The sequence below is a fragment of the Homo sapiens genome, chromosome X (genome assembly GCF_000001405.40).
Source record: "Homo sapiens chromosome X, GRCh38.p14 Primary Assembly".
NCBI classification, from domain to species: Eukaryota; Metazoa; Chordata; class Mammalia; order Primates; family Hominidae; genus Homo; species Homo sapiens.
Genome location: NC_000023.11, coordinates 64,501,115 through 64,518,359, shown reverse-complemented (window position 1 = coordinate 64,518,359; position 17,245 = coordinate 64,501,115).

Sequence of the window (17,245 nt, the reverse complement as noted above, 5' to 3'; positions counted from 1 at the left end):
CTTTGTCTCTTTTGATCTTTGTTGGTTTAAAGTCTGTTTTATCAGAGACTAGGATTGCAACCCCTGCCTTTTTTTTGTTTTCCATTTGCTTGGTAGATCTTCCTCCATCCTTTTATTTTGAGCCTATGTGTGTCTCTGCACATGAGATGGGTTTCCTGAATACAGCACACTGATGGGTCTTGACTCTTTATCCAACTTGCCAGTCTGTGTCTTTTAATTGGAGAATTTAGTCCATTTACATTTAAAGTTAATATTGTTATGTGTGAATTTGATCCTGTCATTATGATGTTAGCTGGTTATTTTGCTCGTTAGTTGATGCAGTTTCTTCCTAGTCTCGATGGTCTTTACATTTTGGCATGATTTTGCAGTGGCTGGTACCGGTTGTTCCTTTCCATGTTTAGTGCTTCCTTCAGGAGCTCTTTTAGGGCAGTCCTGGTGGTGACAAAATCTCTCAGCATTTGCTTGTCTGTAAAGTATTTTATTTCTCCTTCACTTATGAAGCTTAGTTTGGCTGGATATGAAATTCTGGGTTGAAAATTCTTTTCTTTAAGAATGTTGAGTATTGGCCCCCACTCTCTTCTGACTTGTAGAGTTTCTGCCAAGAGATCCGCTGTTAGTCTGATGGGCTTCCCTTTGAGGGTAACCCGACCTTTGTCTGTGACTGCCCTTAACATTTTTTCCTTCATTTCAACTTTGGTGAATCTGACAATTATGTGTCTTGGAGTTGCTCTTCTCGAGGAGTATCTTTGTGGCGTTCTCTGTATTTCCTGAATCTGAACGTCAGCCTGCCTTGCTAGATTGTGGAAGTTCTCAGTCAATATCATACTGAATGGGCAAAAACTGGAAGCATTCCCTTTGAAATCTGGCACAAGACAGGGATGCCCTCTCTCACCACTCCTATTCAACATAGTGTTGGAAGTTCTGACCAGGGCAATTAGGCAGGAGAAGGAAATAAAGGGTATTCAATTAGGAAAAGAGGAAGTCAAATTGTCCCTGTTTGCAGACGACATGATTGTTTATCTAGAAAACCCCATCGTCTCAGCCCAAAATCTCCTTAAGCTGATAAGCAACTTCAGCAAAGTCTCAGGATACAAAATCAATGTACAAAAATCACAAGCATTCCTATACACAAACAACAGACAAACAGAGAGCCAAATCATGAGTGAACTCCCATTCACAATTGCTTCAAAGAGAATAAAATACCTAGGAATCCAACTTACAAGGGATGTGAAGGACCTCTTGAAGGAGAACTACAAACCACTGCTCAAGGAAATAAAAGAGGATACAAACAAATGGAAGAACATTCCATGCTCATGGGTAGGAAGAATCAATATCGTGAAAATGGCCATACTGCCCAAGGTAATTTACAGATTCAATGCCATCCCCATCAAGCTACCAATGACTTTCTTCACAGAATTGGAAAAAACTACTTTAAAGTTCATATGGAACCAAAAAAGAGCCCACATCGCCAAGTCAATCCTAAGCCAAAAGAACAAAGCTGGAGGCATCACACTACCTGACTTCAAACTATACTACAAGGCTACAGTAACCAAAACAGCATGGTACTGGTACCAAAACAGAGATATAGATCAATGGAACAGAACAGAGCCCTCAGAAATAATGCCACATATCTACAACTATCTGATCTTTGACAAACCTGAGAAACACAAGCAATGGGGAAAGGATTCCCTATTTAATAAATGGTGCTGGGAAAACTGGCTAGCCATATGTAGAAAGCTGAAACTGGATCCCTTCCTTACACCTTATACAAAAATTAATTCAACATCGATTAAAGACTTAAATGATAGACCTAAAACCATAAAAACCCTAGAAGAAAACCTAGGCATTACCATTCAGGACATAGGCGTGGGCAAGGACTTCATGTCCGAAACACCAAAAGCAATGGCAACCAAAGCCAAAATTGACAAATGGGATCTAATTAAACTAAAGAGCTTCTGCATAGCAAAAGAAACTACCATCAGAGTGAACAGGCAACCTACAACATGGGAGAAAATTTTCGCAACCTACTCATCTGACAAAGGGCTAATATCCAGAATCTACAATGAACTCAAACAAATTTACAAGAAAAAAACAAACAACCCCATCGAAAAGTGGGCGAGGGGCATGAACAGACACTTCTCAAAAGAAGACATTTATGCAGCCAAAAAACACATGAAAAAATGCTCATCATCAGTGGCCATCAGAGAAATGCAAATCAAAACCACAATGAGATACCATCTCACACCAGTTAGAATGGCAGTCATTAAAAAGTCAGGAAACAATAGTTGCTGGAGAGGATGTGGAGAAATAGGAACACTTTTACACTGTTGGTGGGACTGTAAACTAGTTCAACCATTGTGGAAGTCAGTGTGGCGATTTCTCAGGGATCTAGAACTAGAAATACCATTTGACCCAGCCATCCCATTACTGGGTATATACCCAAAGGACTATAAATCATGCTGCTATAAAGACACATGCACACGTATGTTTATTGAGGCATGATTCACAATAGCAAAGACTTGGAATCAACCCAAATGTCCAACAATGATAGACTGGATTAAGAAAATGTGGCACATATACACCATGGAATACTATGCAGCCATAAAAAATGATGAGTTCATGTCCTTTGTAGGGACATGGATGAAATTGGAAACCATCATTCTCAGTAAACTATCCCAAGAACAAAAAACCAAACACCGCATATTCTCACTCATAGGTGGGAATTGAACAATGAGATCACATGGACACAGGAAGGGGAATATCACACTCTGGGGACTGTGGTGGGGAGGGGGGAGGGGGGAGGGATAGCATTGGGAGATATACCTAATGCTAGATGACGATTTAGTGGGTGCAGCGCACCAGCATGGCACATGTATACATATGTAACTAACCTGCACTATGTGCACATGTACCCTAAAACTTAAAGTATAATTAAAAAAAAAAAATTGAAATCATTCTCAACTTGAGAGCCATACATAGACAGTCATGGACTCAGATTTGTCCCAAGACCCGTAGTTTGCCAACCTGTGGGTTAGAATACGAAGGAACAGAAAAGCCTGTGAATACTTAAATATTAATTTTTTGTCCCTGTCACATTAATTCCCTAATGTTGTCATTACTTTAAACAGATCATCCTTCACCACAGTATTTTTGGTGTCCACCTTGCTTCTTTCTTGCAACACACCATCATAACTCTACAACCTAGTCAGAATCTAGAGGAGCCAGAATTTAGAGATACTTTCCCCTCCATAGCTTATGGTCTAGAGCAAGAGCTTTAGGCTAGCTGGGAGGACTGGCAAAACAAATACCATTACCAAGCCTTTGCCAGCAAGCACCAGGCAGCAGAGAGTGTCATCCAAGGGGAGAAACTTATGTTGCTCTGCTGGCACTATGTTCAGGCCACCTGATACTGTGGCAAACGTGATGACCTATTCCCAGAATAGGTCTTAGAGATGTGAATCTTAGAAATCATAAGCCAGATTGCCTTCAGAGAAAGAATGAGATATTTCACTGGAATCCCAAGTCCTTGAAACTGGCCAGAGGTTCCTGCATATCCTTGTGGGCCATATGCAGAGTCACTCCAGGCAAATATATATTATTACTAGCTAGAAACTTTGGCGCCAAATACTTGTGTGATTTTCTTCCATGATAAATGAAACTAGACCAAGTATAAGCCCATGGACCTAATTTTGGCTCCATAACTTATGGTCTAGAACAAGAGTTTTCAACATTGACTACACATTGAAATTGCCTGAGGAGATTTTGAAAATGCTAATGCCTGGATCCCAAGCTCAGAGATTGTGTTGTAATTGCTCTGAGCTGTGGTCTGAGCAATGGGATTTTACAAAGCTTCTCAGGTTAGGAGCAGCCAATGTTAAGAACCAGTGATCCTTAATTCTTATGATCTGTAGGAACTTTCTGGGAATTTTGTCAAAATGACAATTCTGATTCTGTAAATATGGAGCACGGCCTCACATTCTGCATTTCTAACAAGTTGTCAGGTGATATCAATGTTGTTGTTGTACAGACAACATTTTGAGAAGCAAGGATTTAGGCCCAGAATTTCTTATCCAGCAGGTCTGAGAATAAGCATAATGACAATAAACTAGGAAGGAAAGTTACTGCTGTACATCTGGGAAGTCAAATTTCTTTCTGATAACAAAGGACTAATGTGGTAACAGGAAGCATTTTTACTGCTAAGTTAAAGAAGTTGTAGTAAAGGGAGAAGTCTTCTTCTCTCAACTCGTCAAAGTCATTCTCCATTCAGCTTTGTTCCGTTGCTGGTGAGGAGCTGTGCTCCTTTGGAGGAGGAGATGTGTTCTGATTTTTAGAGTTTCCAGATCTTCTGCTGTTTTTTCCCCATCTTTGTGATTTTGTCTACCTTTGGTCTTTGATGATGGTGACATACAGATGGGGTTTTTGTGTGGATGTCCTTTCTGTTTGTTAGTTTTCCTTCTAACGGTCAGGACCCTCCCCTGCAGGTCTGTTGGAGTTTGCTGGAGGTCCACTCCAGACCCTGTTTGCCTGGGTATCAGCAGCAGAGGCTGCAGAACAGAGGATATTGGTGAACAGCAAACGTTGCTGCCTGATCGTTCCTCTGGAAGTTTTGTCTCAGAGGAGTACCCAGCCACGTGAGGTGTCAGTCTGTCCCTACTGGGGAGTGCCTCCCAGTTAGGCTATTCAGGGTTCGGGGACCCACTTGAGGAGGCAGTCTGTCCGTTCTCAGATCTCAAGCTGCATGCTGGCAGAACCACTACTCTCTTCAAAGCTGTCAGACAGGGACAATTAAGTCTGCAGAGGATTCTGCAGCCTTTTGCTTGGCTATGCCCTGCCCCCAGAGGTGGAGTCTACAGAGGCAGTCAGGCCTCCTAGGGCTGTGGTGGACTTCACCCAGTTCGAGCTTCCTGGCCACTCTGCTTACCTATTCAAGCCTCAGCAATGGCAGGTTCTCCTCCCCAATCCTCACTGCCACCCTGCAGTTTGATCTCAGACTACTGTGCTACAAATGAGTGAGCTCCCTGGGAGTAGGACCCTCCGAGCCATGCATGGGATATAATCTCCTGGTGTGCCATTTGCTAAGACCATTGGAAAAGCACAGTATTGGGGTGGGAGTTACCCGATTTGCCAGGTGCCATCTGTCACCCCCTTTCTTTGACTAGGTAAGGGAATTCCCTGACCCCTTGTGCTTCCAGGGTGAGGCGATGCCTCACTCTGCTTTGGCTCATGCTCAGTGTGCTGCACCCACTGTCCCGTACCCACTTTCCAACACTCCCCAGTGAGATGAACCCATTACCTCAGTTGGAAATGCAGAAATCACCCATCTTCTCCGTCACTCAGGCTGGGAGCTGTAGACTGGAGTTGTTCCTATTTGGCCATCTTGGCTCCGTGATTATCTCAATAGATGCAGAAAAGGCCTTTGACAAAATTCAACAACTCTTCATACTAAATCTCTCAATAAATTAGGTATTGCTGGGACATATCTCAAAATAATAAGAGCTATCTATGACAAACCCACAGCCAATATCATACTGAATGGGCAAAAACTGGAAGCATTCCCTTTGAAATCTGGCACAAGACAGGGATGCCCTCTCTCACCACTCCTATTCAACATAGTGTTGGAAGTTCTGGCCAGGGCAATCAGGCAGGAGAAGGAAATCAAGGGTATTCAATTAGGAAAAGAGGAAGTCAAATTGTCCCTGTTTGCAGATGACATGATTGTATATCTAGAAAACCCCATTGTCTCAGCCCAAAATCTCCTTAAGCTTATAAGCAACTTCAGCAAAGTCTCAGGATACAAAATCAATGTGCAAAAACCACAAGCATTCGTATACACCAATAACAGACAAACAGAGAGCCAAATCATGAGTGAACTCCCATTCACAATTTATTCAAAGGGAATAAAATACCTAGGAATCCAACTTACAAGGGATGTGAAAGACCTCTTCAAGGAGAACTACAAACCACTGCTCAATGAAATAAAAGAGGATATATACAAATGGAAGAGCACTCCACGCTCATGGGTAGGAAGAATCAATATCAAGAAAATGGCCATACTGCCCAAGGTAATTTATAGATTCAATGCCATCCCCATCAAGCTATCAATGACTTTCTTCACAGAATTGGAAAAAAACTACTTTAAAGTTCATATGGAACCAAAAAAGAGCCCACATTGCCAAGACAATCCTAAGCCAAAAGAATAAAACTGGAGGCATCACGCTACCTGACTTCAAACTATACCACAAGGCTACAGTAACCAAAACAGCATGGTACTGCTACCAAAACAGAGGTATAGATAAATGGAACAGAACAGAGCCCTCCAAAATAATGCTGCATATCTACAACCATATCATCTTTGACAAACCTGACAAAAACAAGCAATGGGGAAAGGATTCCCTATTTAATAAATGGTGCTGAGAAAATTGGCTAGCCATATGTAGAAAGCTGAAACTGGATCCCTTCCTTACACCTTATACAAAAATTAATCCAAGTTAGATTAAAGACTTAAATGTTAGATCTAAAACCATAAAAACCCTAAAAGAAAACCTAGGCGATACCATTCAGGACATAGGCATGGGCAAGGACTTCATGTCTAAAACACCAAAAGCAATGGCAACAAAAGCCAAAATTGACAAATGGGATCTAATTAAACTAAAGAGCTTCTGCACAGCAAAAGAAACTACCATCAGAGTGAACAGGCAACCTACAGAATGGGAGAAAATTTTTGCAATCTCCTCAGCTGACAAAGGGCTAATATCCAGAATCTACAATGAACTCCAACAAATTTACAAGAAAAAAACAAACAACCTCATCAAAAAGTGGGTAAGGGATATGAACAGACACTTCTCAAAAGAAGATATTTATGCAGCCAACAGACACATGAAAAAATGCTCATCATCACTGGCCATCAGGGAAATGCAAATCAAAACCAGAATGAGATGTCATCTCACACCAGTTAGAATGATGATCATTAAAAAGTCAGGAAACAACAGGTGCTGGAGAGGATGTGGAGAAATAGGAGCACTTTCGCACTGTTGGTAGGACTGTAAACTAGTTCAACCATTGTGGAAGACAGTGTGGCGATTCCTCAAGGATCTAGAACTAGAATTACCATTTGACCCAGCCATCCCATTACTGGGTATATACCCAAAGGATTATAAATCATGCTGCTATAAAGACACATGCACACGTATGTTTATTGTGGCACTATTCACAATAGCAAAGACTTGGATCCAAGCCAAATGTCCAACAATGATAGACTGGATTAAGAAAATGTGGCACATATACACCATGGAATACTATGCAGCCATAAAAAATGATGAGTTCATGTCCTTTGTAGGGACATGGATGAAGCTGAAAACCATCATTCTCATCAAACTATTGCAAGGACAAAAAGCCAAACACCACATATTCTCACTCGTAGGTGGGAATTGAACAACGAGAACACATGGACACAGGAAGGGGAACATCACACACCGGGGTCTGTTGTGGGGTGGGGGTAGTGGGGAGGGATAGCATTAAGAGATACACCTAATGTTAAATGACGAGTTAATGGGTGCATCACACCAACATGGCACATGTATACATATGTAACTAACCTGCACATTGTGCACGTGTACCCTAAAACTTAAAGTATAATTAAAAAAAAAAGAAAAAGTAGAAAATTGGTACATTTTGTATTACTGGAACTGAATTCTTGGGACTATACTGATGCTATTATCTGGTATAATATAATTGAGCACAATTAAAGATGGAAAATAAGAAGATGACTTCCTGGCATTTTTTGTAGCATAGCTTTGGAATTAGCTTAATTGAAGCAATGTCCTTATGCATTTAAGTAGACTCTAAGGAGAGTTTCAGAGAGACATTCATTGAAGACCTTGAGGGGCTGATCTAATGATCTAATCATCTTATTGGTCCCAGGTACAGTGCCAACAACTAGAGAGATAGGTTTAATGGTGGTACAGCAGGACTTTTCTGGTACTCTGCTGATTGTTTCCCATGAAGAAGACAAAAGCAACCCTGGTTGACTACAAGCCCTACAGTTAGGCTCATTTTATTTAGCTAGAGGAAGAAGAAAATGTAGAGAACTGTCTGTAACACATGCTAACTACAGAAAGTGGTCAAGATTTCCACTATCACTACTACTACTGTGGAGGAATTGCTAAGGGTTTGTGGGTGGGGGACAGAAAGAAAGGTACAATTAGTAGGGGTAAGAGATGTTAATACGTCTTTTCTTACTGATAATATGCATCTTCATGGTGCACTCTCATTTAGATAACTCTCTATTTTTCACTTCCATATAGCTAATGTGGTAAGCCCAGTAGGATCAGTGGGCTCCATAGGAAAGAAGCTATGAAGGGGGAAGCTTAGACTGGTTATACTGCAGTCATAGGGAGAAGATAAGTGTCGAGAAGCTACTCGAACAAGCCTTAGTCTACATCAGTAGTTTATAAAGTGTGGGCCCTGGACCAACAGCATCAACACCACTGGGGACATTCTGGAAATATTCCACGCATTTGATATACTTTTGATTATCTTACCAGATGTGGGACTACTAGAAGTCTTGAAAGTGTAGAGTGTTGCTTTGCTTTTGTTTATCAAGTACCTAGGTGCTATGAAACTCCCATATATAAGAACCTAGGAAGCCCTACATCTGGCACTGACTGAGTTTGCAGATGCTTCAGGCTTGGGTAATCAGATTGTATGTCTATTGCAAAATTGACACATATGGGCTGACTTCAGTAAGTTATAGTCTATTTCATTGCTTCCTTGCCCACCCACATGATTCATCTCAATTAAGCTGTCTTTAATGTTGGGTGCTTAAAAAACAAAAGAGTGAGACAGAGAATGAGAGAGAAGAGATCCATTTACCATGTATGTGGAAAAAATGAAAAAGATTAAAATGGTGTGAATTGTCTAGGGATCTGAGCATTCTTCAACTCAGGATAAATGGCCTGTGGCAGACTCAGTATTAATGTCTCCTCTTGGACCGTCTCTCACCTGTAGGCCTTTACATGACCTGTTCTAAAGAAAACTTGCCAGATGCTGTGGTTCATGCCTGTAATCCCAGCCCTTTGGGAGGCTGAAGCAGGAGGATTCCTTGAGGCCAGGAGTTCAAGATCAGCCTGGGAAATACGGCAAGACTCCATCTCTAAAATAAATAAGTAAATAAATAAAAATTAGCAGGGTGTGGTGACATGCCCCTGTAGTTCCAGCTACTTGGGAGACAGAGGTGCAAGGATTGCTTGAGCCCAGGAATTCAAGGATGCAGTGAGCTGTGATCACACCACTGCACTCTATTCTAAGCAACAGAAGGAGACACTGTCTCAAAAAAAAAAAAAATCTAATAAAGAAAACTAGGCAACTGAGATTGAGTTTAAAGGCACCATTCTAATCTGTTGTGTTGCCAGGACTCAGGCATTTTAAAGTGCCTCAACTTCATTTCTTGTTCGTCAGAGTAAAATTAGCCTCTTTTTGATCTCTCTCTAACAAAGCAGAGATATCAGGGAATGTCTCTACTGAATTGCTTTCCCTGTATTTTCATAGTTTCTGCTCCTTTATACAAAGGGTCAGATCGTAATGGAAGATGACATTTAGAGCAGTGGAACTTTGAAGCCATGTTACCACAGGCGAAGAAGGGCTTTACTTAATATTTGAAATGTTGAAATCTGGTTAGAAGTGCTCTTTTTTCTTCTTTGTTTTTTTTATTGTATTTTAAGTTTTAGGGTACATGTGCACAACGTGCAGGTTTGTTACATATGTATACATGTGCCATGTTGGTGTACTGTACCCATTAACTCATCATTTACATTAGGTATGTCTCCTAATGCTTTCCCTCTCCCCTCCCCCCACTTTGTTCAATTCCCACCTATGATTGAGAACATGTGGTATTTGGTTTTCTGTCCTTGCAATAGTTTGCTGAGAATGATGGTTTCCAGCTTCATCCATGTCCCTACAAAGGACATAAACTCATCCTTTTTTATGGCTGCATAGTATTCCATGGTGTATATGTGCCACATTTTCTTAATCCACTCTATCACTGATGGCCACTTGGGTTGGTTCCAAGTCTTTGCTATTGTGAAAAGTGCCGCAATAAACCTACGTATGTATGTGTCTTTACAGCAGCATGATTTATAATCCTTTGGGTATATACCCAGTAATGGGATGGCTGGGTCAAAGGGTGTTTCTAGTTTCAGATCCTTGAGGAATCGCCACACTGTCTCCCACAATGGTTGAACTAGATTACAGTCCCACCAACAGTGTAAAAGTGTTCCTATTTCTCCACACCCTCTCCAGCACCTGTTGTTTCCTGACTTTTTAATGATCGCCATTGTAACTGGTGTGAGATGGTATCTGACTGTGGTTTTGATTTGCATTTCTCTGATGGCCAGTGATGATGAGCATTTTTTCATGTGTCTTTTGGTTGCATAAGTCTCTTCTTTTGAGAAGTGTCTGTTCATATCCTTTGTCCACTTTTTGATAGGGTTGTTTGATTTTCTCTTGTAAATTTGGTTAAGTTCTTGGTAAACTTTGGATATTAGCCCTTTGTCATATGAGTAGATTGCAAAAATTTTTCCCCATTCTGTAGGTTTCCTCTTAACTCTGATGGTAGTTTCTTTTGCTATGCAGAAGCTCTTTAGTTTAATTAGATCCCATTTGTCAATTTTGGCTTTTGTTGCCATTGCTTTTGGTGTTTTAGACATGAAGTCCTTGCCCAAGCCTATGTCTTCAATGGTATCGCCTAGGTTTTCTTCTAGGGTTTTTATGGTTTTAGGTCTAACATTTAAGTCTTTAATCCATCTTGAATTAATTTTTGTATAAGGTGTAAGGAAGGGTCCGGTTTCAGCTTTTTACATACAACTAGCCAATTTTCCCAGTACCATTTATTAAATACGGAATCCTTTCCCCATTTCTTGTTTTTGACAGGTTTATCAAAGATCAGATGCTTGTAGATGTGTGGTATTATTTCAGGGGGCTCTCTTTTGTTCCATTGGTCTATATCTCTGTTTTGGTAGCAGTACCATGCTGTTTTGGTTACTGTAGCCTTGTAGTATAGTTTGAAGTCAGGTAGCGTGATGCCTCCAGTTTTGTTCTTTTGGCTTAGGATTGTCTTGGCAATGCGGGCTCTGTTTTGGTTCCATATGAACTTTAAAGTAGTTTTTTCCAATTCTGTGAAGAAAGTCATTGGTAGCTTGATGGGGATGTCATTGAATCTATAAATTACCTTGGGCAGTATGGTCATTTTCACGATATTGATTCTTCCCACCCATGAGCATGGAATGTTCTTCCAGTTGTTTGTATCCTCTTTTATTTCATGGAGCAGTGGTTTGTAGCTCTCCTTGAAGAGGTCCTTCATGTCCCTTGTAAGTTGGATTCCTAGGTATTTTATTCTCTTTGGAGCAATTGTGAATGGGAGTTCACTCATGATTTGGCTCTCTGTTTGTCTGTTATTGGTGTATAAGAGTGCTTGTGATTTTTACACATGGATTTTGTATCCTGAAACTTTGCTGAAGTTGCTTATCAGCTTAAGGAGATTTTGGGCTGAGACGATGGGGTTTTCTAGAGGTACAATCATGTCATCTGCAAACAGGGACAATTTGACTTCCTCTTTTCCTAATTGAATACGCTTTATTTCTTTCTCCTACCTGATTGCCCTGGCCAGAACTTCCAACAATATGTTGAGTAGGAGTGGTGAGAGAGGGCATCCCTGTCTTGTGCCAGTTTTCAAAGGGAATGCTTCCAGTTTTTGCCCATTCAGTATCATATTGGCTGTGGGTTTGTCATAAATAGCTCTTAGCATTTTGATATACTTTCCATCAATACTTAATTTATTGAGAGTTTTTAGCATGAAGGGCTGTTGAATTTTGTCGAGGGCCTTTTCTGCATCTATTGAGATAATCATGTGGTTTTTGTCTTTGGTTCTATTTATATGCTGGATTATGTTTATTGATTTGTGTATATTGAACCAGTCTTGCATCCCAGGGATGAAGCCAACTTGATCATGGTGGATACGCTTTTTGATGTGTTGCTGGATTCAGTTTGTGGACTTCTTAACAATAGTCATTCAGACTGGTGTGAGATGGTATTTCATTGTGGTTTTAATTTGCATTTCTCTAATGATTAGTGATGTTGAGCACTATTTCATATGCTTGTTGGCTGCATGTATGACTTCTTTGGAAATGTGTCTGTTCATGTCCTTTGCCCATTTTTAACGAGTGTTTTTGATTCTTGCTTGTAAATTTAAGTTTCTTATGAATTATGGATCCAATTTTTGTTGGATGCATAGTTTGAAAATTTTTTCTCCCTTTCTGTAGGTTGTTTACTTTGTTGATAGTTTCTTTTGCTGCAGGAGCTCTTTAGGTTAATTAGGTACCATTTGCTCATGTTTCATTTTGTGCAATTGCTTTTGCTATCTTCATCATGAAATCTTTGTCAGTTTCCATATTCAGAATGGTATTGCCTAAGTTTTTTATAGTTTTAGATTTTACATTCATTTCTTTAACCTATCTTCAGTTGATTTTTGTATGTAGGATAGGAAGGAATCCAGTTTTAATCTTCTGCATATGGCTAGCCAGTTATTCCAGCACCATTTATTAAATAGTGAGTGTTTTCCCTAGTTCTTGTTTTTGTCAACTTTGTCAAAGATCAGATGGAGGCAGGTGTAGGGCCTTACTTCTGGGCTCCCTATTCTGTTCCATTGGTCTATGTGTCTGTTTTGGTACCAGTGCCATGTATTTTTGGTTACTGTTGTCTTATAATGTAGTTGAAAGTCAGGTAGCATGACGCCTTTAGCTTTGTTCTTTTTGCTTAAATTTGCCTTGGGTATTTAGGCTGTTTGAGGTTTCATATGAATTTTTTTAAGATAGTTTTTTTTCTAATTCTGTGAAGCATGTCATTAGTAGGTCAGTGGGAATAGCATTAAATCTGTAAGTTGCTTTGAGCAGTGTGGCCATGGTTATCACATTGATTCTATTTATCTATAAACATGTAATAATTTTTACTTGTTTGTGCCATCTCTGATTTCTTTGAGCAGTGTTTTGTAATTCTTATTGTACAGAACATTCACTTTCCTGGTTAGCTGTATTTCTAAGTATTTTGTTCTTTTCGTGGTAGATATGAGTTGGATTATGATCCTGATTTGGCTGTCATCTTGCATGCTGTTAGTGTGTAGAAATGCTACTGCGTTTTGTACATTGATTTTGTATCCTGAAACTTTGCTGAAGTTGTTTATTAGGTGAAGGAGCTTTTGGGCAGAGACTGTGCAATTTTTTACATATAGAATCATGTCATCTACCAATAGGGAGAGTTTAACTTCCTCTCTTCTTATTTGGATGCCTTTTATTTATTTCTCCTTCCTGATTGCTCTGGCTAGGAATTCCAGTACCCTGTTGAATAAGTGTGGTTAGAATAGCCATCCTTGTCTTGTTCTGGTTCCAAAGGGGAATGCTTTTGGCTTTTCTTTTTTTCATTTAGTTGATGTTGCCTGTGGGTTTGCCATGGATAGCTCTGATTTCAAGGTATGATCCTTCAATGCCAATTTCTTGAGAATTTTTAACATGAAGAAATGTTGAGTTTTATCACAAACTTTTTTTACATCTATTGAGATGATTATGTGGTTTCTGTTTTTAGCTCTGTTTATATGATGAATAAAATTTATTTATTTGCATATGCTGAACCAACCTTGCATCCCAGGGGTAAAATAGACTATGGCATCGTGGATTAGCTTTTTGATGTGCTGCTGGATTAAATCATCTATGTTCATCAAGCATACTGGCCTGAGTTTTTCTCTTTTCATTGTGTCTCTACCAGGTTTTGGTATTAAGATGATGCGGGCCTCCTAGAATGAGTTGGGGAGGAATCTCTCCTCCTCAATTTTTTGGAATAGTTTCAGTTGTAATTGTAATAGCTCTTTATAGAGATGGCAGAATTTAGTTGTGAATCTGTCTTATCCTGGGCTTTTTTTTCATTGGTAGGCTTTTTAATACCGACCAATTTTTGAACTCCTTATTGGTATATTCCGGGATTCAACTTACTAGTTCAAACTTGGGAGGTTGTGTGTTTCCAGGAATTTGTATGTTTCTAGGAAAACATAGGAGGTTTTCTATTTTGTGTGTATAGATGTGTCTGTAGCAGTCTCTAAGGTTTGTTTGCTGTATTTCTGTGGGGTGAGAGGTTAACTCCCCTTTGTTATTTTTGATTATGTTTATTTGGATTTTCTCTCTCTCTTTTTCTTTATTAGTCTAGCTAGTGGTATATCAATCTTATTTATTCTTTCAATACAGCAGATCCTAGATTTGTTGACCTTTTGTATGGTTTTCACATCTCAATTTCCCTCAGTTCAACACTGATTTTGTTTTATTCTCATTTTCTGCTAGCTTTGGGGTCCGTTTGTTCTTCTTTCAGTAGTTCCTCTGGGTGTGATGTTAGGTTGTTAATTTGAGATTTTTCTATCTTTTTGATGTGGGATTTTAGTGCTATAAACTTGCCACTTAACAGTGCTTTAGCTGTGTCTCAGAGATTCTGGTATGTGGTATATTTGTTTTCAGTGTTAAAGAATTTCTTAGCTTCTGCCTTAATTTCATTGCTTACCAAAAATCATTCAGGAGCAAGTTACTTTATTTCCATGTGAATGTATGATTCTGAGTGATTTTCTTAGTATTGGTTTCTATTGTTATTGGGCTGTGGTCTGAGATTGCGTTTGGTACGATTTTGGTTTTTTGAATTTGCTGATAATTGTTTTATGGCTGATTTTGTGTTCAATTTTAAAGTATGTGCCATGTGCAGATGGGAATGTATATTCTGTTTTTTGGGAGTGAAAAATCCTGTAGATGTCTGTTAAGCCCGTTTGGTCAAGTGCCAAGCTCAGGCCCCAAATATCTTTGTTAAATTTTTGCCTCAGTGGTCTGTCTAAAACAGTTAGTAGGGCACTGAAGACTCTCACTATTATTGTATGGGTATCTAAGTTTTCTCATAGGTCTCTAAAAACTTACTTTATAAATCTAGGTGCTCCTGTGTTGGGTGCATATGTACTTAGGATGGTTAGGTCTTTTTGTTGAATTGAACCGTTTATCATTATGTAATTCCTTTCTCTCTCTCTCTTTTTTTTTTTTAATTATTGTTAGTTTAGAAGGAGGAGCCAAGAAGGCTGAAGAGGAACAGCTCTGGTCTATGGCTCCCAGCCTGAGTGACGCAGAAGACGGGTGATTTCTGCAGTTCCATCTGAGGTACTGGGTTCATCTCACTAGGGAGTGCCAGACAGTGGGCGCAGGTCAGTGGCTGTGCGCACCGTGTGCCAGCCAAAGCAGGGCAAGGCATTGCCTCACTTGGGAAGTGCAAGGGAACAGGGAGTTCCCTTTCCTAGTCAAAGAAAGGGGTGACAGATGGCACCTGGAAAATCGGGTCACTCCCACCCGAATACTGCCCTTTTCTGACGGGCTTAAAAATCGGCGCACCAGATTATATCCCGCAACTGGCTTGGAGGGTCATACACCCACGGAGTCTCGCTCATTGCTAGCACAGCAGTCTGAGATCAAACTGCAAGGTGGCAGCGAGGCTGGGGGAGGGGCGCCCGCCATTACCCAGGCTTGCTTAGGTAAACAAAGCAGGCAGGAAGCTCGAACTGGGTGGAGCCCACCACAGCTCAAGGAGGCCTGCCTGCCTCTGTAGGCTCCACCTCTGGGGGCGGTCACAGACAAACAAAAAGACAGCAGTAACCTCTGCAGACTTAAATGTCCCTGTCTGACAGCATTGAAGAGAGCAGTGGCTCTCCCAGCACACAGCTGGAGATCTGAGAACGGGCAGACTGCCTCCTCAAGTGGGTCCCTGACCCCTGACCCCTGAGCAGCCTCACTGGGAGGCACCCCCCAGCAGGGGCAGACTGACACCTCACATGGCCCGTTACTCCAACAGAGCTGCAGCTGAGGGTCCTGATGGTTAGAAGGAAAACTAACAAACAGAAAGAACGTCCACACCAAAAACCCATCTGTACATCACCATCATCAAAGATCAAAAGTAGATAAACCACAAAGATGGGGAAAAAACAGAGCAGAAAAACTGGAAACTCTGAAAAGCAGAGCACCTCTCCTCCTCCAAAGGAACACAGTTCCTCACCAGCAACGGAACAAAGCTGTACGGAGAATGACTTTGACGAGCTGAGAGAAATATTCAGACGATCAAATTACTCCGAGCTACGGGAGGACATTCAAACCAAAGGCAAATAAGTTGAAAACTTGGAAAAAAATTCAGAAGAATGTATAACTAGAATAACCAATATAGGGAAGTGCTTAAAGGAGCTGATGGAGCTGAACACCAAGGCTCGAGAACTACGTGAAGAATGCAGAAGCCTCAGGAGCCGATGCGATCAACTGGAAGAAAGGGTATTAGTGATGGAAGATGAAATGAATGAAATAAAGCGAGAAGGGAAGTTTAGAGAAAAAAGAATAAAAAGAAATGAGCAAAGCCTCCAAGAAATATGGGACTATGTGAAAAGACCAAATCTACACCTAATTGGTTTACCTGAAAGTGACGGGGAGAATGGACCCAAGTTGGAAAACACTCTGCAGGACATTATTCAAGAGAACTTCCCCAATCTAGCAAGGCAGGCCAACATTCAAATTCTGGAAATACAGAGAACGCCACAAAGATACTCCTCGAGAAGAGCAACACCAAGACACATAATTGTCAGATTCACCAAAGTTGAAATGAAGGAAAAAATGTTAAGGGCAGCCAGAGAGTAAGGTCGGGTTACCCTCAAATGGAAGCCCATGAGACTAACAGCGGATCTCTTGGCAGACACTCTACAAGACAGAAGAGAGTGGGGGCCAATATTCAACACTCTTAAAGAAAAGAATTTTCAACCCAGAATTTCATATCCAGCCAAAGTAAGCTTCATAAGTGAAGGAGAAATAAAATACTTTACAGACAAGCAAATGCTGAGAGATTTTGTCACCACTAGGACTGCCCTAAAAGAGCTCCTGAAGGAAGCACTAAACATGGAAAGGAAAAACCGGTACCAGCCGCTGCAAAATCATACCAAAATGTAAAGACCATGGAGACTAGGAAGAAACTGCATCAACTAACGAGCAAAATAACCAGCTAATATCATAATGATAAGATCAAATCCAGACATAACAATATTAACTTTAAATGTAAATGGACTAAATGCTCCAATTAAAAGACACAGACTGGCAAGTTGGATAAAGAGTCAAGACCCATCAGTGTGCTGTATTCAGGAAACCCATCTCAT